Source organism: Homo sapiens, chromosome 12 (assembly GCF_000001405.40).
Source record: "Homo sapiens chromosome 12, GRCh38.p14 Primary Assembly".
NCBI classification, from domain to species: domain Eukaryota; kingdom Metazoa; phylum Chordata; class Mammalia; order Primates; family Hominidae; genus Homo; species Homo sapiens.
In genome coordinates, this window is record NC_000012.12 from 59,865,291 (window position 1) to 59,891,314 (window position 26,024).

General features: G+C 35.9%; 2 annotated features.

Annotated features, from left to right (window-relative positions):
* Positions 5,983-6,497: an enhancer, noted in NCBI's record as "H3K27ac-H3K4me1 hESC enhancer chr12:60265054-60265568 (GRCh37/hg19 assembly coordinates)". NCBI's record gives its function as "activates a minimal SCP1, AML or CMV promoter by ChIP-STARR-seq in naive H9 embryonic stem cells {active_cell/tissue: H9 hESC(naive)}" and the evidence as "EXISTENCE:reporter gene assay evidence [ECO:0000049][PMID:30033119]".
* Positions 6,498-7,010: an enhancer, noted in NCBI's record as "H3K27ac-H3K4me1 hESC enhancer chr12:60265569-60266081 (GRCh37/hg19 assembly coordinates)". NCBI's record gives its function as "activates a minimal SCP1, AML or CMV promoter by ChIP-STARR-seq in naive H9 embryonic stem cells {active_cell/tissue: H9 hESC(naive)}" and the evidence as "EXISTENCE:reporter gene assay evidence [ECO:0000049][PMID:30033119]".

Genomic DNA, 26,024 nt, shown 5'->3' on the forward strand with positions numbered 1-26,024 from the left:
AGCCATTATAGTAGGTGAGGTTGAGAGATGATGGCAGCTTGGAGGTAAATATAAAAGGATAGAACAGGTGTATAATAGACAAGAGCCAAGTCTACTTGATAATGTGGAGTATGACAGAGGAACTTTAGACAAATTCTGTATTTGGGGCAGAAACAATGAAGCGTGTGGTGGAGACATCACTAAGATGTGGAACACCGGGGGAGGAGGCGGTTTAGGTGTAGAAAAAAACAATCTTTGGACTTTGTTGCTTTGAGATATTTACGAGCTATCTTAGTATAGCTGTCAAGAATGGAGGTGGCTATACAAGTATGTATCTCAGAAGAATAGTTGAAATTCAAGCTTGAATAGAGTTTGAATAATCCAGAAGACACCATATGTGTTTCTAGCCTTGGTTATAACTCTTTCAGAAACCTTCCTTTCTTCCATGTATCCAGCCACCATTGCAGAAAGAAACAGAGGAAAAAATAGGAGATCTGAGAAAAAGAGGATTTTATATAATAAAATTGACAAATTACCCAAAACATGTTTATATTTTTATTAGAAAAATATTAATAAATTGTTTCAAAACAATTTTATTTTTAGTTTCATTTCTTGTTTTTCAGCTAGTGGGAATTCATTAATAATATCAGTTGGCTTAGAAATGATGGAGATAATTTTTCTTTAAACATTGTTGCAAGACAACTTAATTCAGTTTGGCTATTTAGGTTATTTTTGATGAGCAGTAATGAACCCTTACAAATACAGGTGGCAGAAACTTTTAGTTTCCTCCCCCAAATTAAGTTACCTGATGGTTTTAAAGCAAGTCTTCTCAGAATGAATTTTGCCATGTACAAGCCTCTTATTACTACATATATATGTATGTATCTCCACACGCATATATATTTGTGTATGTATAGGCACATACATAGGTATGTATAGGTGTGTATACATACATATACTTAGGTATGTATATACCTATGCACATACATAGGTATGTGTAAGTGTGTATATATGTATGTGTATTTGTATATGTGATTACTTGCATGTTTATTTACATACATTTATATGCATACAGTTATAATTGTACAAACTGTTGTTGATCATAGGCTTTCAGACATTTTGTGTAAAGATTTCAATAGAAAACAATAATGCAATAATATTCTGACTGTAGGGCTTGCTAAACTTTGCAACAGAATACTTAGTTAAAAGATATTTCTAGACTTAAAAAGTTACCCTGAAGATATTAAGCTTCTGTATTCATTAGATTGTTATAACCCATTTATGAAAAATTAGGCTCATCTGTAAAATATTTCTGGCCATTTATCTTGAACATGACTCATTTTAAAAATTAAAATTTATTTCTAGCATTATTTGTACTAATTAACAAAATTTCTAGCACACATTTAAATATCAGTATTTGAAATTTGCCCATAGTTGCTTTTGGAATGTAGAAAGGTGATTATGATTATTTTCAAATGCTAGTTTAACCTCATTTGATGTGTGGATTCCTGATAAGGATACTTAAAAATGTTAAAAACTACCTAGAGAATAGATACAAGTTAACTTATGCACAAATATACTGCATTGTCAAACTCAAAGTATATTAAAGTAAATTATAGAAATAACATTCGTTCAAGTTACAATATCTAAGTGTGTAACTTGGTTACAGACTTTTTTGATACATATTATAAATGGCAGGCTAGATTTTCCTCTTTTATACTTATTCTTCCTAGTCGATGTGAAAGGTCTGATTATGTGAAGATAGACCACAAAATCAGGATCTCTTTTCCTTCTGATTTCATACTTCTTATTTTCCCTTCTCTCTAATCTTTTCATCAGGCTCCACCCAGAATGAACAAATTAGAATTGAAAAATGAACAATTCATTGAAGAATCTGAAGAATTCATACTCTGAGGGTATGAAAGAAAAGCTATACCACCTGTCATAACAGTCACAACTGATCACTGAAAACTGTATTCACATTTATAATTCCCACATGCATAATTCTTTGTGTTAGAGTGTGTTATGTAAGCACTTTTTAAGACTCCAGTGTTTTCTCCTTTGCTTCTTCCTGGTGAACATTTTGCTATCGACAGACACTGACTGCAATTTGAATAGGGTTCCTAAAATCAAAATTAGTTTTGATAATTTAATAGATGGACTCACAGAACCCACTGAAAGCTATTATACTCACAGTTATAGTTTATTTCAAGGAAATAATACAAATGAGAACCAGCCAAACTAATAGGCACAGAGTCTTGGAAGGTTCCAAAGGAAGCTTCCATTGTCATCAGGATGTTACCCTCTTGACGCCAATGTGTGACAATACACATGGAGGATTGCCAACAAGGGAAATTTGCCTGAGCTTCATTGTCCAGAATTTTTATTGTATTTTCATTATGTAGGCATAATTGATCGATTAATTTTCTACATGCTTTGACTCAGTCTCCAGCTCTCTGCACCCTCTTCCTGGAGTTCAGGCTGGTATGATGTGGTCCACGAGGGCCCACCTTGAGTTTCATGAGTATAAACTATCACTAGGTGTGGCCTGAGGGTCCCATCGTAAATAACAAAGACACTCATCACTGAAGAACTTCCAAGGATTTGGAGATTGCCTGCAAGGAGTCTGGGACAAGGCCACACCTCTCTTTGCTCAAGGCCAAATTCTTTACTATACAGTCTAGCACACAGCAAGCAAATCCTGCTATGCTCCCTTTTCCTGGAGTGCTCTTTCCATGGTTAGCTTTTTGTATTTATTCTGGATTAAAGTAAGTATTGTCTTATCACAGAAATCATCCTTGACTTTACTCTTAAAAGATAAGTTTTCTCTTTCTCAGCACCTTCCATGTATCCTTAAAAAAATTCCCGTATGAGATTGTTTTACAGGAATTACAGTTTGTTAACTACTTTAAAAGTGTTTCTTCTCTACTAGAATAGAATCCAGAGGACAAGAATCACATTTGTCTTTCTCACCTTTATCTTTAGAGTGTCTGACACATAGTAGGAGTGCAGAAATCTTTTTGAATAGATGACTTGATAGACTATTAATTCTGTGACAGCCGTCTAATATCTTTGAAATTAATTAATCTCTAGAATCCTGCTGGGACTCTGGCATATACAAGGCTCACAATTAGTGTGTATTTAATGACTGAAAATGAGTTAAAGGGCTTTCTATTTTCGATTCAGGCTTAGAGATATTAAAGGATTAAGATGTTACATTCTTTAGGAAGTATTTTATGGAGCTATTCATTGTACTGAATTTATATTTTTGACAAGCATATTCTTCTGATTTAAAATCTCAAATTTCCCATGTATTCAGATATGAACTTAATTACATTAAGCAGACACTGTGTATCGAAAAGAGCAGTGGATTTAGAATATGAGGATCTGGCCTTCTGTAGTACTTATTGGATATACAATTTTGCAAGTCACCTATACTCTCTGAATGTCAGTTTGTTTTTCATTTTTAAAATAGTAACAACAATGGTTATTTAGTATGAATGCAGAAAATTTATGAAAACAACTAGCTAATATTTGCTATATAGTAAATAGTTTGTAAAAGTTAAAAGAAAAACTCTTTCTTTCCCAACCCAACTAAGCTTCTTTCTATTTATCATGCCTTAATGAGCTTTATTGTTCTTGTTGCCTAAAGACAGTTCAAAGGTAAGGGCGCAATTGTAGTGTTAAAAGATGACTGCAGGTGCAACCGTGTCTGATGTGAGTACCAACACTCTTCCTCCGATGCTGAGAGGAGATTTTGCTCATTGATCAAAACACTTTTCCTAGCTTAGCCAAAGGCAAAGTATAGATTGGTATTGAAGCACATGGGCTCTAGTATTAGGCTATCTGGGTTCAAATTTGTGCTATGCAAATAACGCAGACCTTGAGGAGCCCATAGTAGTAGGTGTAAGCATCATCACTATCATCATAATCTTATATTTGTGGTAAAATTTGCCTTGGTTGAAATAATTTGTGAACCTCGGCAAGGATCTCAACGTCTTCACTAAGTTTTCTCATATAATAGTTCCTAATTTATGGGATTACATAAATCTGTAATATATATACAACATATTAAATGTATGTACGCCTATATACATACATTATATATATGTATTAGAACAATGTCTGTATGTGCTTCCCTTTATATTTCAGAGAACTTCTCAGAATTCCATTCAACTAAGCATTCTGGGCAGGCACATAATTTAAGATGAATTTGCCATTCCTCAACTACAAGTTTTAACCATGTTAACATACAGTTAAGCCCTTTCTTTTTAATGCACAAATGGAAAGAACCATGATGTTAGTGCCTTGCAAAAAAAGGTAGGCCACTTAGGAACTCATACACTCACAAACTTCATTCCCCACAGATGGGGCAGACATTCCTGGGATGTTGATGCCAGCAAATTTAGCCAATTATATTTTAGCCACCTATTAAACTCCTTGGAAACAAGATTTTATTTTAACTCAGTATGAAGATTATGCAAAATGGATCACAGATTTGAAGGAAATTATTCCTTCATGTACTATTCATGTACATGAAATAGTACATGAAGCTAAAGTCAGGGAAAGATAATATAGAAAGGACAAATTTGGTCTTCAGCCCCACAGTGTGTCTTTGAATAACAGGTTTTTTTAATGCACAAACACATGGTACTGAAACATTTGAGATGGGGAAGTCAAAACTGTCTTGAAGTGAAGATAATATTGTGAAACAAACTCACTGCAGGACTTCATGAGTTTAAAATTCTCAAATAATAACTTGTTGCAGCATGGAATGACTTAACAAAAAATTTCAGAGTTGAAGTATATAATTATTATTAAACAGTTCTGCACAGCAGCCTTTCACATATTACTAGACTATAGAGATATAGTCTTTGTTATATAAATTTGCAAAAATTGAATTGCTAGCAGGTCTGTCAACACATATTTATTAAAGGTGTCTTACGTGGCAAGCATTACTCTAGGAACTAGAAATAAATGGATACACAAACAGATGTGGATTTACTCATATAGTGGAAGGAGCAGACAGTAATTAATTGTGGAGTTAAGTTTAATGGGAATATACGGAACAAGGGAGAAGGAAACAAGAACAAGCCTTAACCTACCCACAGAGGATTTCCCAAGAGGATTATATTAAAGCAAATACCTTAAGTATGGGTGGATTTGGCTAGGATAAACAAAGGAGGGGGGGCACTTTAAATAGCAATGGCAGCATAGTCAAAAGCCCTGTGGCAGGCAAGACCATGCGCTGTCAAGGGAACTGAACAATGCCCAGTATGACCCGTGTAGTAAAAATCAGGTTATGAGAAGACAGGACGGTAAATTGTATAGGTAACAAAGTACACAGAGCTTTATAGCCCATGTTTCAGTTTTGAGTCTTCCTTGTATAAAAATGTTGTAAAATAGCTTATTACTTAAAAGCTAATACCAGGAATCCTAGTAGGCACAAAAATGTTCTTGTTTGAAATAAAAATGCAAAATAAAACTTTGGAAAGTTCTTGGGGTAGAAAGTAAGTCTCCCTGCTACTCCTAAGAGTTAAGTGTTATGGGGCCCATGCTTAAGAACAAGAGGAGCCTAACATTTGCAGGTCCCAGATCAAGAGTACAAATGGACACCTACATACCTTCTTATGTCTAAATATTTTAAATAGTAGAGTGGGGATGTCAACAAGATGTGGAATAGGACTTTCCAATGCTTATTCTGTTACAGAAACAACAATTCAAACAACTCTCTATGCACAAAAATAACTTCACAGGAACTAAAGAAACAAGGTGAGGGATTATAGCACCTGGGTGTTGCACAGAAATAAGAAAACATGCATTAAAGTGTGTAGGAAGGCATAGTTTTATATTATCCCTGTCACCCTTCCCCCCAACCCCACACAGCACAGTGTGGAGGTACATAACTTCCATGTGGGGAAAGGAGAGAGAAAATAAGCACTGGACCTTGCCTTGTATCCCAACACTGGTCCCGTTGCAGTAAAACCCAGCACTGGGAAGGCCCCCATGCCACAAACTGAGCCTTCAGTGCCATGATGAGTCCTTGGTCTGCTGGGCAAACTCAGTCTCTCACTGCCCCACCACCAAGTTGATCTCAGAAACCTCAAGCTATGAATTACTCCTGGCATCAGACCAATTCCCAAAGCCCTAGACATAAGACCAACACCCAGATACCCAGCCTCCTGGCTGGTCCCTGTAAATACAAAATGCAGGCCCATCCAGCACTTTGGCCAAACCCAGTGCCAGGTCAGCACCCGTGGCCTCAAATATCAGGCAGGTACTATAGACACAGGCTCAAGGCCTGCCAAGGGCCAGGCTGGTCTCTTCAGCCCCATCTTCCAGATCATTCTCTGTGACCCCACACTCCAGCAGACCCAAAATCTCAGCTTGCCCAAGTAGACCCTAGCACTGGACCAGCTGCCCCAGGCCCAGGCTCCAGGATCATTATTGTGTACCAGGTCCTAGGCCTGCCCATGATGTCCCAGGACCCAGGTCAGCCCTCCAGAACCTAGTCTCCATGCCAGCACCTGCACACACAACCTCTATGCCAGTGGACTCAGGCTCCAGTCTGGTTTCCATGGCTTCAGCCTTCAGGTTAGCCCCAGCGGCTCCAGGCATCAGGCCAGTGCCCATAATCCTAGGTTCCAGACCAGCCCTTGTATACCTAGGCTCTGTGTCAGCCCCAACACTAGGCTGTCCCCAAGCTCCAGACTAGTCTCAGGGTCCCAGGCTCCAGGGTGTAGACCTACTCCAGCAGACGCAGGGTCCAGACCCACCTCATTAGATCCTGGTGCCAGGGACCCCATGGACTGAGATTTCAAGTCCACCCCTGCAGACCCAGAATCCAGACTTGCCCCCACAGACTCAGAATCCTGCCTCTTTACCAGGTAAAACCTTGTGGACTCAGACTATAGGCCTATTCCAGAATAAACTAACAGAATAAGGGGCCCAGGAATAAATGCATTTATTATTAATTGATTTTTGAGAAAGGTGCCAAAACACAGAATGTGGAAAGGACAGTCTTTTCAATAAATGGGGTTGAGCAATTGAATATCTACAGGCAGAAGAATAAAATTAGACCCATATCTTACACTATACACAAAAGTCACTCAAAATGTTATAAAGATTTTAACATAAGCATAAAAACTATAAAACTATTATGTTGGTGCAAAAGTAATTGCAGGTTTTGCCATTAAATGTAATAGCATAAACTGAAACCCCTTTTGCACCAACCAATACTAGAGGAAAACAACAGGAAAAACCTCCACAACATTAGTCTGGGCAATAATTTTTTGGATATGAACCCCAAAAAACAGACAACAATAGCAAAAATAGACAAATAGAATTCCAACTAAAAAGCTTCTTCAAAGCCAAGGAAACAATCAACAACCAAGTTGAAACAAAAACAACATACAAAATGGGAGATTGGAAACCATACATCCGATAGGGGGTTAATAGCCAAAATATGTAAAGAAACAACCTGATTACAAAGTGGACAAAGGATTTGAATAGATATTTCTCAAGGAAGACACACTGATATGGTTTGGCTCTGTGTCCCCACATAAATCTCATCTCAAATTGTAATCTCCAAGTGTTGAGGGAGGGGTGTGGTGGGAGGTGATTGAATCATGGAGGCAGATTTCCCCTATGCTGTTCTCATAATAGTGAATGAGTTATCATGTGATCTGGTTGTGTGATAAGTATCTGGCACTTCCCCATTCTCCCTTTCTCCTGCTGCCATGTAAGACGTGCCTTGCTTCCCCTTCACCTTCTGCCATGATTATAAGTTTCTTGAGGCCTCCTCAGCCATCCAGAACTGTGAGTGAATTAAACCTCTTTTGTTCTAAATTACCCAGTCTCAGGTAGTATCTTTATAGAAGTGCGAAAATGGACTAATACACACACACAAATGGCCAAGAGATGTATATTTAAAAATGCATTTTCTAAAGGAAGACTGCTGACTCCTGGTGGGCACATCCCAGTGGGCCTGCAGATTTCTTACCACCTGGTGAGGGACTTGACCAGAGGAAGAGATTCATCTAAAGTGAATGGGTTTTTATGCCTGAGTCATATTCCACTATATATACCACAGTTTGTTTAGTCACTTGTTGATTGATGGGCATTTGGGCTGGTTTCATGATTTTTCATTTGTGAATTGTGCTGCTATAAACATGTGTGTGCAAGTATCTTTTTCACATAATGACTTCTGCTCTCCTGGGTAGATACTATTATTCTAAGTGAAGTAATTCAGGAATGGAAAAGCAAACATCGTATGTTCTCAATGATATGTGGGAGCTAAGCTCTAAGGACACAAAGGCATAAGAATGATAAAATGGACTTTGGGGAATTGGGGGGAAGAGTGGGAGTGAGGTGAGGGATAAAAGACTACAAATACGGTGCGGTGTATCCTGATTGGGTGATGGGTGAACCAAAATCTCACAAATCTCTACTAAAGAACTTACTCATGTAACCAAATACCACCTGTACCCCAATAACTTATGAAAAAAATAAAGTGAATGGCTAAGGGAGTAACTAGTGGGATATTTTTCTGTATAATAAAAGGAAAATTATTTGGAACTTTCAGTTAAATCTGGGAAGGAAAGGAATAAAAAGATATGAGAGGGTAAGATAAAAATGAAAACCAGAAAGATAGTAGAATTCTGGGATTAAATGAGGTCCTTGGACTTTACAACTCATTTTTTCATTAAAAAAATATATTGCAGAAGGTAGAGCGAGATGGCAGAATAGAAGCCTATACCATTTCTCCCCCTCCCCCTACAGGAACACCAGATTTTAACTACTATCTGCACACAGAAAGACAGCACCACAATTGCAGTACCAGGTTTTTACTTCATATCAGTGGAGGAGGCATTAAAAAGAGTGAGAGAGATAGTCTTGAATCACTGATGCCACCCCTCCTCCGTGCCCCCAGTAGCAGCCATGTGGCACCGAGAGTCTGCACACTTGGGGAAGGAGAGTGCAGAAACTGGGAGACTTTACATTGAACTCAGTGCTGCTGTGTCACAGCAGAAAGCAAAACAAATCAAAACCACAATGAGATACCATCTCAGACCAGTTAGAATAGCAATCATTAAAAAGTCAGGAAACAACAGGTGCTGGAGAGGATGTGAAGAAACAGGAACACTTTTACACAGTTGGTGGGACTGTAAACTAGTTCAACCATTGTGGAAGACAGTGTGGCGATTCCTCAAGGATCTAGAACTAGAAATACCATTTGACCCAGCCATCCTATTACTGGGCATATACCCAAAGGATTATAAATCATGCTGCTGTAAAGACATATGCAGATGTATGTTTATTGCGGCATTATTCACAATAGCAAAGACTTGGAACCAACCCAAATATCCATCAATTAAGAAAATGTGGATTTTCTGACTTTTCAGCTTGTGGTACCTGGAGAACGACTCTGAAATCAAGTAAACAAAGATAAAAACTGCTCACTGGCCCAATTTCAGTCAGAGCAATGTTGGCAAAGTGGAAGGGATGAATTTTAGATTATCATGTGAATGGCTAGCCATTTCAAAAAGAAATGATTATCATCAGCAAGTGAATATTTGAACATTTCTACAAAGGGTTGTCTGAGAAAATGTTGCTGACACTTGGGTTAAAGGAGGAGCCTTGGAAGTTAAGGGGTGGTTGAAAAGCTAGACATCTCAGAGAGCAATTTCCCTAGTGTTTACATTTCAAAGGGAAGTGAAACCTGGAGCCAGGCAGCCAGTCATTTATATTGCAATGGAATGCAAATTACTAGAGAAAGGTTTTACTCCCTCTCTCAAGAGAAGAGGGGCAGCATGTAACCTGCATAAACACCAGAATTTAATTTCAGGGTAGTTCTCCTGCAGAACAGACCCCTGTATGTGCAGGTCTGACTCGGACATTCATGTTTTCACCTGGGGAGCACCAGGCATTGGAAATTAATGTGGTGGTTATAAGTTATAATAACTCTGATCTCTGTCCCACAAACCTCCTGTTCACTTTCAGCATAAAAATGACAATGCTTTTTTATGATTTAATGATTTTATTAAATGATTATTTAGTGCTTATATTTCAGCATAAATACAAGCATTAAAAACTTATCAGTTGATTCTCCATGACTTTTGTCTTGCAATATATTGTCGCATGTCTGTGCTTGGAAAAGGTAGAGGACGTGGGTAACAGGCAGGCTGGCAACTTGAATTACCTTGCAATGATTAATGATGCAATAATTACTAACTTTTATTAAGCAAAACTACTTTGTGTTTCTTGACTCATTAATTCAATCAACAGAGCAGCCATGTGAAGTAGATGTATTTCATCCTTTTACTACTAAAGAAGCAGGCTCCTAAAAGTCACAAAATTTACCTGCTTGATGGAGTCAAGGATAAAGCCTGTGTCTGACTCTTAAGCTCTCTTAAGCAGCTCATTATATTGTCTCTCAGGTAAAAAGCCTGTATAAACAGAAGTTGGAATTTATAGAATTTGCACCAACTTCAGATACTGCTGTGATAGAGTTTGTTACAAATTAAGAGATTTATTCTTTTGTTGAAGTTCTAGAATATGCAAGTAAACTTAGCTGTCTAATAAAGAAGGAAGAAGACTCTCTTTACTGATGTCTCCATACCCCCTCCATCCCCTCCACTGAAAAAGTTGCTTCTCTACCTCATGCTCTAGATTTGTACCTAGCCATATGAAGGTACATTATTTATAGCCTTATGCATTATTTTTCTGTAACATTACCTGTGCCAGCTGTTGAAGACATTCTGCTCACAATGCTGCTTCAGAGGGTCATCTGGATGCCAGGTGCATAAATAGCTGGGTAATTGATTATGCCAGTATTAGTTCTATAGACTTTTATTCTCTGACTCTATATCACTCAATACTTGAAAAAAAGTATGTAATATATGTGTGTATATACGTTTGTAACTATATCTCTATCTTATATATAAGAAATGTACATGTGTATATATAGTCTAGTTTGCATATTTATCTGTTTAATCTTTAATACTACTTCTGTACTGCTCCTGGGTCCAGTGAGATGGACATCTCAGTTCCTCAAAGCACCCTGAAACTACTAGAACAGGTAAAACCTGGATATTAATTAAGTTTATCCCAAGGCCACACTCTTGATAGGCCAAAAAAAGTTACCATTAGCTCCACTGTCTTGCCATTCATTTTCCCACTTGAAATTATGCTCGGTAATATTGCTTGATAGAGTTTGGCAGATAAAGTTACATGATATGTATATCCCAATAACTCTATATGCATGTTATAATATATATTGAATAATAAGATTCCCCTCCCATTATTAAATCAATTCCATGTTGCTTCAAGTAATTTAAAGTTCCATAAAGTAGAGTTACCCAAGTGGAACTCTTCTATTTTTTTCTGCAATAGATAATCAAAATGCTAATAATGAAGCCCAAACAAAATAAGCCCAATATATAATAAGCCCCTCTACTGTGTTTTCCTAGAAAAGTTAACATCATCAAATCTTTCTTTTTTCTTCCTCCTCACATCGAAAATAACTGGAGAGGCCTTATCCTAGGAATATCCTTAGCTGTCTTCCCCTGGACCTGAAATAGCATGTTTAGATTCTTCAGGTTCTTTATTTAATTCATTATTTTCCAGACTGGATGTGGTCTATGTTTTTAAAGTTTGAAAATTTAGAAAGCAAAAATAAATCTCTAGGAACAAATATTGTTAATTAAGGGTGATACAATATGATAACATATCCCAAGCAAAACGTTCATGTAACCCTTTACCTATCGCAGTGGCAGCTCACATTTTTACTACTAGGAGACATAAGCCCAGAGATTAGTGTATCTGGAGAAAAGGGCTAACAGAGAAAGCAGGAAAGAAAAAACAAGAAAAATCTTGGTTTCAGGTTGGCTATCCTGAGAGTCTATCCATGCCAGTTCAGGTAACTATTTGCACACCAAAGTTTCGTGCTCCCCTTCAATGATGAAGAGCTGTTGCTGGGATGAAAAAAAAATGCTCAGCCAAGGACTATGTTTCCCAGTTCCTCCAGTATCCAACTTGGGTAACGTGATGAATATTTTGGATACAATATGGTCTGAAGTGGTGTATGCCTTTGCTTAGCTTGTCCTATAAAAGATTCCTGTACAATCCTCCACCCTCCCTCTTTCCTTATTCACTAGCTGAATGGAGAAGATTCTGAGGCTTGATAGTTGAGAAACGTCACAAGTAGAAGAAACACTGTGGAAAAACCATGAACGACCATATGGAAAGTCATCTACCCACTAGGAATGTCTCATTAAATTTTATTTGAATTACAATTCATCTAACATTCATCTCAAGACTACAGCTTGTGAATTTAGAAGTAATTTGGTAGAAATCATTCATCAAAAAGTTATTTTGTATTCTATTTCTATAGCCTAGTAATATAATCTACTTCTATAAAAACTGCCTCTTCTCTTAGAAAACAGCATCTGAAACCCTCCTAATGTCTTATAATATTTTGCATTTTACAAAGGCGGCTAATCTAATTCCTGTCTTTCCTGTGGCTCTGTTTGCCATCTTAGTGTCCTTTTATATTTTAAAGCTATTAATTTTAGTTTCCCTTTTTCCTCTCTCTTTTAGACACTACATATGGTTCTTTACAGGACAACAATATTCTCTCTCGTATAATCTGAGTACTCCACTTTTAATAGGATATCTTCAAGAAGACCACAGTCATGCATTGCTTAACAAAGGGGATAAGTTCTGAAAAAATGCCTTTTTAGGTGATTTCTTCATTGTGTGAACATCATAGAGTATATTTACACAACTTAGATGGTATAGCCTACTACACATCTAGACTATATGGTGCAGCCTACTGCTCCTAGGCTACAAACTTGTACAGCATGTTACTGTACTGAATACTGTAGGCAATTATAATACAATGACAAGCATTTGTGCATCTAAACATAGAAAAGGTATAGTAAAATATGGTATAAAAGATTAAAAATGGTATAACTGTATAGGACACTTACCATAAATAGGGCTTGCCGGCCTGGACCTTGTTCTGGGTGAGCCAGCGAGTGAGTGGTAAGTGAATATAAAGGCCAAGGATATTACTGTATACTACTGTAGACTTTATAAACACTGTACACTCAGGCTACACTAAATGAATTGTATTTATTTATTTGTTTTTATTTACGTTTATTCTTTGAGACAGCATCTTGCTATTGCCCTGCAGGAGTGCAATGACACAATTATGGCTCACTGTAGCCTCAACCTTCCAGGATCAAGTGATCCTTCCACCCCAGCCTACCAAGTAGCTGGGAACACAGGTGTGTCCCAGCACGCTTGGCTAATTTTTTATTTTTTTTTTGTAGAAATGAGGTCTTCCCATGTTGCGTAGGCTGGTCTTGAATTCTTGCACTCAAGCAATCCTCTCACCTTAGTCCCTCAAAGTGCTGGGATTACAGGCATGAGCCTCCCTCCGCACCTGGCTTTAAAAAGTTTTCTTTCTTCAGCTGGGTGCGGTGGCTCATGCCTGTAATCCCAGCACTTTGGGAGGCGGAGACGGGAGGATCATGATGTCTGGAGATCAAGACCATCCTGCTCAGCATGATGAAGCCCCGTGTCTCTACTAAAAAAATACAAAAATTAGCCAGGAGTGGCAGCGCGCGCCTGTAGTCCCAGAACCCGGGAGGTGCAGGCTGCAGTGAGCCAAGATCGCACCACTGCACTCCAGCCTGGCTGACAGAGCGAGACTCTATCTTAAAAAAAAAAAAAGTTTTCTTTCTTCAATAATAAATTAATTTTAGCTTACTGTAACTTTTTTACTTATAAATTTTATAAACTCTCCAGCAGTCCTCTTCCCCATTCTTCAAGTCTATTACATTAAAGAACAAAACAACAACTTGTTTCTTAAATTGATCTTGTTCTTAGGGCTAACACTTTTTCTGATCAGAGTTTCTTCTTTCTGTTTTCTCTTTTGAGAGCATGTCTTTGTTTTGCTTATGTATGTAGCAATATTTTGCCTGTATGGTTATATTTAGAAAGAAATATAATATTTGTGGCATCTGAGTCTGAAAAGAATTCAATTTTCAAAAATTATATTCTCAGAGTAATTCTCCCTTGAAGGTCAATTTCACATCCATGCTGGCCATGTGCTCCAACTCCCATGCTTCTGTGGGATCCACTTTCAGCGGGTCTCATCTTTCCTTTAGACTCTAGCTCCATATATTTGCCTGGCGTATTTTTTCTAGTTTTCTTGTTTAAAAAAATCTTACGTGACCTTGAAATTCACTGAAAAATGCCTGAATTATACATTCGCGAGCCTCTTTTATCAAAGCTCTCAATTTTTGTGGTTGTTAACAATACCTCTGTACATTTTCACATTTTCATCTTCATTCACTTTAAAATACTCGGCTATAACACATGTACACACACATACACACACACAAACATGTATGCAAAAAGTAAATTAATCAAACATATAATTTTAGATCAATGTTTTTCTAAATACGACACATGGGTTACCTGTGTTAAAATTACCCAGAATGCTTAGTTAAAATACAGGTTTCTGAGCCCCTCCCAAGACTGATTGAATCAGAATTTCAGGAGCCTCCAAAACTACAATTTTAAAAACAGATATTCCAATAATTTTTATGAATTCTATAATTAAGGAACTACTGCTTTTATGTATTTAGTTACTTTAATACTAAGGGAATTGTGTTTGTGGAAAGAAGTTTTTATTTTAATTTTTTCTCTGTGTATATAGAAACACCCTCTCTGTTGAATAAACATAAATTTATACAAGCAGACATATGAACATAACTTTTATGCTTTTGGTAGTTATTAAAATATGCTGTTTTAATCATGCATTCTAGCAATAAGCTTAGTGCATTAACATTCAGAGAGTAAATGACAGAAACATTTTTGTTCTGTACTCTAAAATTATTATCTTTGGTGTTTGAGAACAGATTCATTTAACAGCCGTTAAAGAGTGAGAAAATATACAGCTTTAACCTACATTGAGAGGTTAAAAATAGAAATTCCAGCAAATATATTTAAATATATGTATCACCAGAAACATATTTCAGGCAAATCCCTCCCTCTTTCCTTTAAAAATAATATGGGAGAAACTATTGCATGCAATTTGATGTTTTAGTTTTGATTTTTAAGGACCATTTACTTCCTTTTCTTTTCTACATGTCAAAAGTCAATTAATATTTATATGAATTTTGCAGTAAAGCTCTTCCTCCACATATATTTCTCTTTTCAATTATAATTTAGTGGTCTCACCTACATTCCGCATCTCTCTCTCTGAAAGGTGCAATGGTGCAGAGCAGTTACACAATAGGATAGGACAATGTATACACAAGTGAATTTCTCCCACTATACTGAGCATAATATGGACATTCAGTACTGGGATGGATCCCATCCAGAGAAGGTAGCTCCTCAAGGTTTTATGTGCTGAATTGTTCATATTCATATATGCCACCACTATCCACACATAAGATTGAGTACTAGGCAAGAAGGGCACTACCACAATCTTTCCATAGCAGGTTGGGTATGTTCATAGCAGGCTGGGAGAATAACAGGGATAAGATTTGTCTTTGTGTCCATAGAGACTCCAAATAGGCTACCCTAGTCTGCGCTGAGAAAACATTTTTTTCAGGAGTGTTCCCCAGCACTCAGTATTATTAGAGACACTGTGCTTGAAGGTGGGATTTTTAACATTAAGATGTTTGATATGCTGTTTAATATAATGCATATGCCTCAAAGGAACCTCAGCCCTTTTCTTTTGTAGGCTAACAGGTCATACTTCTGGATTTTATAAGCCATCACAGATGTGATCAACCAGTCCACTCACCATCTCTTCATCCTATCCAATTGATAATGCTACTTAAAATCCAAATCCACACTTGCATCTTCATAGCAAAACAGTTTATATTTTGGAGTATAGATATTTTTATTATTTTCCCAAGAAATTGATGGTGACAAAAAAAGGGGAGTCTTAAAAATCTAGGGAACCAGACCCAGGGGAAATTGTAGGCATGTTCTTTAGCATCAACACTCTGCTCTGGCCCTTTTCTGGACAGTATTTTTATTTGTTTGATTGTTTGTTTGCAAATAATGCAATTCTCCATTCTCTTTAATGTCAAACTGACCATCCTTCACAGAAGTCAAACCTTTCCTCTATTTCTTGAGGGGTACGGGATGAGCAAGAGAGGACAGGGTTTAGTGGAGTTGGTCTTAATTAAATGTGCACGGTATAGTACTAGAAAAACATGCTATTTTTTCTTATCACTATTACTTAGATAAGAACTTTTAATATTAAGCACAGAATCAGATATAACTTCTTATCTATGTAATTAAATGTGACATTAACATTTGAGATAAACATAAGGTCATTTTTTTTAGCTTTTTTTTAAAATGAAGAGATGGCTGATATAAAGATAAGCTTTATGGATATCAAGTAGGTCATAATAAAATTCTGGAATGGACAGAAAACTTAACATTTTCTGTTAGAAAATCTTTCTTTCATAGTGGAATCTACAGTTTTTTTCAATTCCTGGTTTTGTTGTTGCTTCTTGGCATTAGTAAATATTTCAGTCCAGTAAACTTTGCTATAATTACACAAACTCTATACAGTGAGGTTTGGGAAAGGTATGCAAAGACTTACTTCCAGTCAAAAGAAAGTCAACCACTGTGTGAAATGAGGATTAGAAACTAGATTTGCTGATATATTTGTACAGGGTATTTACTACCTAACAGGGCATGTTTTTATTTATCTTTTTATCTTTCAAAATATGAGGCATTTTCCACCATTAGTGGAAATTTTTTTTTTTTAAATCATTACATGAGAGGAAAATGTTATCAATGTGATAGTTAAAATATTTTAATGGCAAACGTAGATTTTAAAGGGTGATATCGATTTGCTTCACACAACTACATACAATTACAAATGTAGTTAACATTTTTTTACCTATTGCTCTGTAACAAATCACCCCCTAAATCTTAGTTGCTTTTATTTCTCACAGAAGGTGGGTTGGGCTGAGATCTCTCATATAGCTGCTGTAAGATGGTAGCTGCAGCAAGAGTCATCTTAAAACAACTAATGAGGTAATGAGGGTCTGGGTGCAGTGGCTCACGCCTGTAATCCTAGCACTTTGGGAGGCTGAGGCGGGTGGATCACTTGAGGTTAGGAGTTTGAGACCAGCCTGGCCAACATGGTAGAACTCCATCTCTACTAAAAATACAAAAATTAGCTAGGGTGGTGGCAGGTACCTGTAATCCCAGTTACTCGGGAGGCCAAGGCAGAAGAATCACTTCAATCCAGGAGGCAGAGGTTGCAGTGAGCCAAGATCGATTGCGCCACTGTACTCCAGCCTGGGCGACAAAGTGAGACTCTGTCTCAGAACAAAACAAAACAAACACAGAACACCAAGTTAGGGTGGATATTCATGATAGCTTCTTCATTCTCAAGACTGTTCCTCAACTGATACAGCTGAAACAGCTGGAAGTTAGCTGACTGTGTTTTGATTTACATGTGGCCTTCAACATGATAAGCTTAGACCTCTTCACAACATGGTATTCTCACTGTAGTAAAACTACTTACATAGTGGGTGACTTCCACAGAGCAAGTGATTCCATATACTCAGATGGAAGCCATGATTTCTTATTATCTGATGTTGGAAGTCACACTTCTTAATTCCTATCACGTTCTACTGATTAAGAGCTACTAAAAGCAGGTCATGGGAAGATTCAGTCCATGAGTGGGTATGTATCTTTGGAGAGTTAGTAAAGATGGTACTCAGCAGTAAGACCAAGAAATTTCAGTGAAAAGTCTCATATATTTCATATCCATTGATTACTGATTTTTAGAACAGGAAAAGACCTTAAGTATCCTGGAAAATATCTGATTTACCCTTGAAACTGACACTCAGATAAGCACTTGGTGTTTACAAAAATAAAAATCCAGTATCTTGTTATTTTTAGGCTATTAGGAAGTCACAATACTTTATGTTATTTTAAATAAAAACTGAGATGTAGGAAACATTAATACGTCTCATCTAAAACAAAATAGACAAGAACAAAATGTACAAAAATTTACTTCATTCAACTACAGAAATCTTCCAAAATGTGCATAAGATAAACAATGGCTTTTAACATGTGTATAGACAAGAACAAAATGTACAAAAATTTACTTCATACAACTACAGAAATCTTCCAAAACATGCATAAGATAAACAATGGCTTTTAAAATTTGTATTTAAAATGTAAAAAAAGATAGTATCTGAAAAAGGATAGATCAAAAAATAGGCTTGGTTTCTCATTATATTTCTTCTTTTTAATTTAAAAATTCAATTTCTCTATTTTAATTTTTAACAGGTAATTTTTAAGTGACTTCAAAATTAAAAAGGATATAAAGGTTTATAATGAAAAGTACATTGAAAATGATAAACACTGCTGACAGAAAGAAAAGGAGACTCAAATAAATGAATAGATATACCATGTTCATGGGTCAGAATACTGAATATTGCTAAGATGTCAATTTTCCCAAAGTGGATTTATAGATTCAATGCAATTCCAATCAAAATCTAGAAGGCTTTTTTTTCATGGAAGTTGACAAAATGATTTTAAAATTTATGGCAAAGCAAAGAGCCTAGAATAGCCCAAGATGCTTATATTTTATTTATTTTGTTCTTTAAAATGTTTTAAACAAAACAAAAACAAACATTTCAAGTATACAGCCTGATGTTATAAGATACATACATACATACAGTTGGCCTTTGATGTTTGCGCATTCTTCATCTGTGGAATTAACCAACTGTGGATTAAAAATATTTAAAAATAAAAATTACAAAAGCAATACAATGAAAAATACAAATGAAAGAATACAGTATCACAATTATTTATATTGTATAAGGTATAAGTAATCTAGAGATGATTTAAAGTATATGGAAGGATACGTGTAGGTTATATGCAAACACTATACCATTTCATATTAGGAACTTGAGTATCTAACTGTAAATTTTGATATTCACAAGACATCCTGGAACCAATCCTCTGTGGATAAATAGGAACAACTATATAGGAAAATGGTTACTGTTGTTCAACAAATTAATATATGCATCCTCTCAAATAGTTGCCTGTTTTATTCCCTTTGTGGCAGGAAAAGCTATATTCATTTATCAACAATCCTGAATGCAATACACTATTATTAACTATAGTCCTTATGTTGTACATTACATCTTTTGACTCTTTCATGTTTGCTACTTTGTATCTTTTGATCAACATCTCCCATTTCTTCCCCTTAATCTGTCCCTGATAACCCGTTTTACTTTTTATTTCTGTATATCTGACTTTTTTATTTTTAGATTCCACATGTAAGTAAGATCATCCAGTATTTTTCTGTTTCTGGCTTATTTTACTTAGTACAATGTCTTCTAAATCCATCAATGTTGTGGCAAATGGCAGAATCTGCTTCTTTTTTAAGGCTGAATATTCCATTTTAAATATACAAATATACATACATACATATATGCATGTATATATGTATATATTTATACATAAAAAGGGATTATATTCCATACATGTATAAAATATATATATGTATTTATAGATGTATATTTATACATATACATATATATGTGTGTATTTATATATAAATATATATTATATATAACATGTATTTTATATATAAATATGTATTATATATTTTATACTTTATATATTTTTATTTTGTATTTTATATATACTTATGTATTTATATATAAAATACATTATTACAATATATATTTATATATAATATACACATATATACATATATGTATAAATACATATATATGCATTTATACATATATGCATATATAATGCATACATATATGCATATGTATAAATTTATATATAAAATACATGTTATATATAATATAGATTTATATAGTTTATGTTATATATATGTATATTTATATATACACACAAATGTATATATGTATATACACAAATACAAATATTAAATAAGTATATATATTTATATATAAACAAACATTTATTTTTATAAATTGTTTCACAGTTTCTTTATTCACTTATCCATTGATGAATATCTTGGCTATTGTGAGTAATGTTGCAATGATTATGAGAGTGCAAACCTCTCCTAGAGCTGTTGATTTCATTTCCTTTGGGTAAATATTCAGGAAAGAGATTGCTGGATCATATGGTAGTTCTATTTTTAATTTTTGAGGAACCTCCATACTTTTGACAATAATGGTTGCGCCAATCTACATTTCCACCACCAATGCGCAAGGGCTCCATATTCTCTGCCCCCTCACTAACACTTGTCTCTGGTCTTTTTGATAATAGCTATCCTAACAGGTGTGAGGTGGTATCTCATGGAGGTTTTAATTTGTATTTTTCTGGTGATTAGTGATGTTGAGCACCTTTCATGTACCTGTTGGCCATTTTTATGTCATTTTTGGAGAAAAATCTATTCAAGTCCTTTGCCCATTGTTTAATTGGGTTACTTATTTTCATGTTTTCTTACTATTGTGTGAATTATTTATAAGTCTTGAATATTAACCTCTTATTTGATATGTGATTTGCAAATATTTTTTCTTAACTTGTAGGTTGGCCCTTTTCATTTTGTTGATTTTTTTTTTCTGTGAGAAGTTACCATTTGTTTTGCTCTGTTATTTCATTTACAGAATTGTGACATAAGTTTGTGTCAGGGTGACATACTTAACCATAAACTTAGTAAGAATGTTTTCATTTGAAATATTTTTATAATTTTGTCAGGTACAGATGATATAAGTATTTTAATTAAGCTAATGTTTCATAAGTAAAAAGCAAAATAGTAATAACCCATCTGGAATTTCCCCCAGATTACTCTAGGAAATATACATAATGAGAGAAAATATTCAAAACTATATATTAGCTCTTAGTTATTTCTGCTCTGTGAGTTCTTTAGCAAGAGACTTGTTATTACTATGAAGAAACTGAATATTTCATTGTTGTTGAATGTGTAGTGCATAAACAGAAACTAGGGTCTGTGGACATACTACTTTGATTTGACTGATAGTTTTGCAATGTGAGAACTCCCATCTGAAAACTCAGTGCACATGAAGAGAAAGAATGTTTTATTTCCTAACATAGCATTGAAATATGTCAAGCACATGAACTGAGACTTGCTCAGCTGATATGTGTTCTGAGAATAAAAGAAACATAAATTGCTAAGGCTCAGGAACATGCCCATTCTATGAATAGAGATTGACTTTGCTGCCAAGGGAAGCAAGTTGCTTGGGCTTTAGGTGACACATTCCCAATCTTTACTTTACCAAGAAAACGGCTTGGAAAGCAAACTACTTGAAATGTTTTCCCAAAGGTTTCCAATGAATATCAAACCCATCAAGCATCACATTTATTTCAGACACAAACTCTCTATGCCTCAGGAAACTCTCTCAGCTCTAATGTCGTTGGAAGCACCTGTCATCTTCCTTCACCTTACTGTCAGGCTATCCATGCCTTTAAGGTAGGTCACCTTTCTTTGAGATCCTGCTTCATTATGGGAAGCTCAAGTTTTTTTTCCTAAGCTACATTTGGAATTTGAGGGCTTTTTGCTTGTCCTTATATGCTCTGCCCAACATTTCCCATTATGTGGTCAAGTTGCTACTCTCATTTACATATTTATTCAACAAATCTTTCTCTATTATACTATACAAATATTATTTATTTAATATCATAAACTAATATTTTACTAAACCATTACTTTTTTAACTCCCACACTGAAGAATAGTGTTAAGGATAAACAAGTGAAGGATGTACACATGTCTTTTCCACTGAGTTACATTGGGAGAGAAAAATACCAGGAAGAAGGTGAAGGGGTTTCTGCATAAAAAGAATAAAATAAGGTCTAGAAATACTCTAAGAAACAGCTCCAGTGGAGGCTTTCTCATGACATATATAGAGACCATGCTTTTTCTATCCCAGACAATTTGAGCGTAACTCCTCTATGGAAAATAATGTTGTTTCCATTAAAAGGGGAAAAAAAAACCAGATTTCCTAATTTTTTTTCCAGATGTTCCCTACCTGACTTAGGAGAAAATGAGCTCCTTGGATTCAGTATGCAAGGTTGAGCACTGGCCAATACGTTTTTGTTTTATTATTCTGGAGACATTTCCTAAAGCCTCTCAAGGTTAATCAAGTATACCAGAGGCATCTATGGGGGTTGCAAAATCTAATTATTATTCCTTGTGGTTACCACACTAGTTTCCTCAACCCATTTTTAGAACTGCTTCGGAGACAATGAACAAGTTCCACAGCCATGTACATAGGAATAGAGTTATTTTCTGACTCTTACTGGATTTTGAAGGGCAAAATGAGGAGAGGAAGAAACTACTTTGGTTTCAATGACTGATCAGAGTTTTCCTTTATTCTAATTTAGGTTTTTGTTAATAATGCGAAAGAAAATGGTTTAATAAGCACATCATAAATAATAAGAAGCCCGGATGAAACAGGAATAATTTTGTTTTGAAGGAGTGAGATGGAAAGATAATCATTACCACCTTCTTTATCTTGAGAGCAGGCATAGAAATTCACCTTGATTCAAATAATCTTTCTTCAGTGAAGAATGGGTAGGGAGTCATCATTAAGTTTGTATTTATAGACAAAGCCGTATAGGAGATAATTTTATAATATAACCTTCTCTTCTCTGACCTAGTTAAAAAAATATAGGCCAATGAGGCTCTTGTAACAAAATAATTCTGAAGAAAGATAAGATAGGCTACGGACTTTGTCTTAAAAAGAGAGTCAAAGAATTTGATGGTGAGAAATGATTACTTAACAAGATGAGGCTGATGCTTCAGTCTCCACAGAATAATGTGTGTGCGTGTGTGTGTGTGTGTGTTTCTAATAATGGCTCAGAGCGAAGGGCACAATTCAAAACCAGCTTATGGCCGGGCGCGGTGGCTCACGCCTGTAATCCCAGCACTTTGGGAGGCCGAGGCGGGCGGATCACGAGATCAGGAGATCGAGACCATCCCGGCTAAAACGGTGAAACCCCGTCTCTACTAAAAATACAAAAAATTAGCCGGGCGTAGTGGCGGGCGCCTGTAGTCCCAGCTACTTGGGAGGCTGAGGCAGGAGAATGGCGTGAACCCGGGAGGCGGAGCTTGCAGTGAGCCGAGATCCCGCCACTGCACTCCAGCCTGGGCGACAGAGCGAGACTCCGTCTCAAAAACAAAACAAAACAAAAAAAACAAAAAAAACAAAAAAAAAAAAAACCAGCTTATAACTACATACCCCAAATAAGACTTGGGAAGGGACTTGGGCCCATAAAGTCACCTTGCTATAGTTGTTTAAACGAAAAATAGAATCACGTAATCATCTGAATCAATAGCAGCAACTGTGAGATCTGAGGTTACATTCTGAGGGAGACGTACCAAACTTTCTGTAGTTAACATGTAGCAGACATTGTTGGTTGGTTATCCCAAAGCCATTTCTGACTCCTCTATCCCTGCAGCCTTCCCATCTTATAAGCTGTAAAGTTAGGTCTCCTTCACTGCAGGCGGGGGCATATAATCTAATTCTGGACACTGATGTGTAAAAAGAAATCTAATAGGGAGAGTTCCTGAAAAAGATAGCTTCTAGATGAAATGGTAAGATACAAGAAGAGAGCTGGCTGTCTTTCCCTTGCCAATGCCTGCCTTCCCATACTTATGTGTGTACCTGATGCTCCTCTGGAGCTTAGAAAGTCATTATATTACTTGGAAAAGGGAGATGGTAACATGCACGTGGGTGAAAAAATCCATACTCTAAGGAAAATTCAGAACACAAAGAAAGCTCGTGACCTTTATTGAACCCACGACACAATTTTAAATGAAAATAAGTGTCCCTATGGTATAAGCAGTTGTTATTCGGATATTGACACTTATACTCAAAAGCATTTCTTACTGATAAAGTATGTGGGTGTTCAAGGCACTGAAAGATTATATATAAACATACAATTATTTCAACTTTGGGAAGTGGATAATATTTATTTCCTGCACCTTCTCAAAGCCCTTTCACACAAATAATTTTATTGGTTACTATATTAATCCTCAGAAGTAGACAGGGTTAGGGTTCTGATTACAGTCTTATAAGTGAAGAAACTGAATACAAAAGTAAAAAGACTTTGTCTAGAGCAACAAAACCTGTATATAGTAGAGACGAGATATGAACTAAGATCTTTGACTCCTTAACTAGGAGCCTCTTTTGGATCATACATCAAGTTAAAAGTAATAATACTAAAATGGTTTTGCATCAAAGGAACAAGATGACGAATGATGCTGATTTTGTCTTTTGTTTCAAACTAGGGACCAGCAATATTCCAAAGTAAACCTTTTTGAAACCTAGGCTTTCTCCTTTTTCTTCATAGAAGGGAATTTGTGCAATTACCCCCAAGAGAACTACCTTGCTACAACAACAATTTACATCCTGGCTGCATTAAATGTGTTTACTGTGGTTAGAAATCTAAAACTGAACAGTTAATAAAAGGAGCTAGAGAATGTTGTAGCTGAACCATTATAGCTCTAGTTTTCCTGTTTTTCTCAATTCAGACCCTGCCACAGAGTCGCACTCCCTTCTGGGATGCATGGTTTGCAAAGAAAAAGAGTAAAACATCCAGTTTTATAGCTACTCTGCTGAAATGCAGCAAATGTATAGTTTGTACCTCAGTCTAGTCATGTAAATCTTGAGATGCGTTAATCCGTCGTTATAGAAGTCTGTTTATCACTATACAGATGGAAGAATCAAGTATAGTGTTTCTTCAAATGTCTTTTGAAAATAATGAAAATTCAATTGTTCTTCTCTTACCCTGGTAATCCAGTTCATTTGGGATTATCCTTTTACAATGGAGAAAAGAGTATTAAATGTGAAATTCAAGCCACATCCTATTTATTGTAAATAAAGTTTTATTGGAACACAGCTATGCCTGTTTAGGTATTGTCTGTGGCTAATACTTTCCACTACATCAGGAGAATTGACTAGTTGCCACAGAAAACCAGTGACCTACAAAGCTTTTATTATGTGGACCTTTCAAGAAAAGGTTTTTTGACCCCTGTCTTAGGAAATAAGAAATAAGTGAGGGCTTTAAGCTAGAAAGCATTATAATAGGAATCATGATGTGGTGGACACCCAGTGTAGAATAATAGACATTGGAGACTCGAAAGGGTGGGAGGGTGGGATGAGGGTAGGGATGAGAAATTACTTGAAGGATTCAATGTATATTATTTAGGGGATGGATACACTTGAAGCCCAGATTTCACCACTATACAATATATCAATGTAACAAAACTGCACTTGTACCCATTAAATTTATACAAAAAATACACTCTAGAATCATATTAAAAAATCATTCCCTAGTCAGCTCAGTTTTTATTAGTTTTTTTTCACATGTATGTGTGTAGGTGTATATATTTTTGTTTTGCTGTACTGACACTCTCTCCAGGAAGACAGTGCCAATTAAATTGAACTAGAGGACACCCAGCTGGTGTCCACTGCAGAATTGCTTGGTTGGTGCATGGGGAGAAAACTCCACAGATTTGTTTTCAGAAATGTTGTGTTAAATGGTTTGTGAGAGTAGGAAAAACATTTTGGGTTTTTCTTATCTATAACAATTTTAAAAGGGGAATTTTACCTGGCACTGTATATTTTACTTCTGTTTTCTTTTCAGACATAGTTCCCTGGTCCTGGTAGATCTTAATATAAATATAGCAGTTGCTACCAATGACTAAATGGGTGACGCCATGGGATACATTTAAAATTCATCAAGAATTAGGGTTTGATGTGAGATGTTTCTGATTAAAACATGCATACACCATATGGCTTCCCACATAGTTTAGTTAGTTATCTATGTCATGACTTGGAATTGGTTGGCTTTCCAATCTTCTTTCTATCTGCTTTTGGAGAAACTAGAGAAAAACAGTATAATTGGAGAGTAAGTGAATTGCGGAGGTGGGCCAAACACAGCTTAATCATGTGTAATGTCTGCTAGAAAGTGAACTGGAATCATCACACCAATTTCACTTATAAAATTCAAACTGCAAGAGACTTTG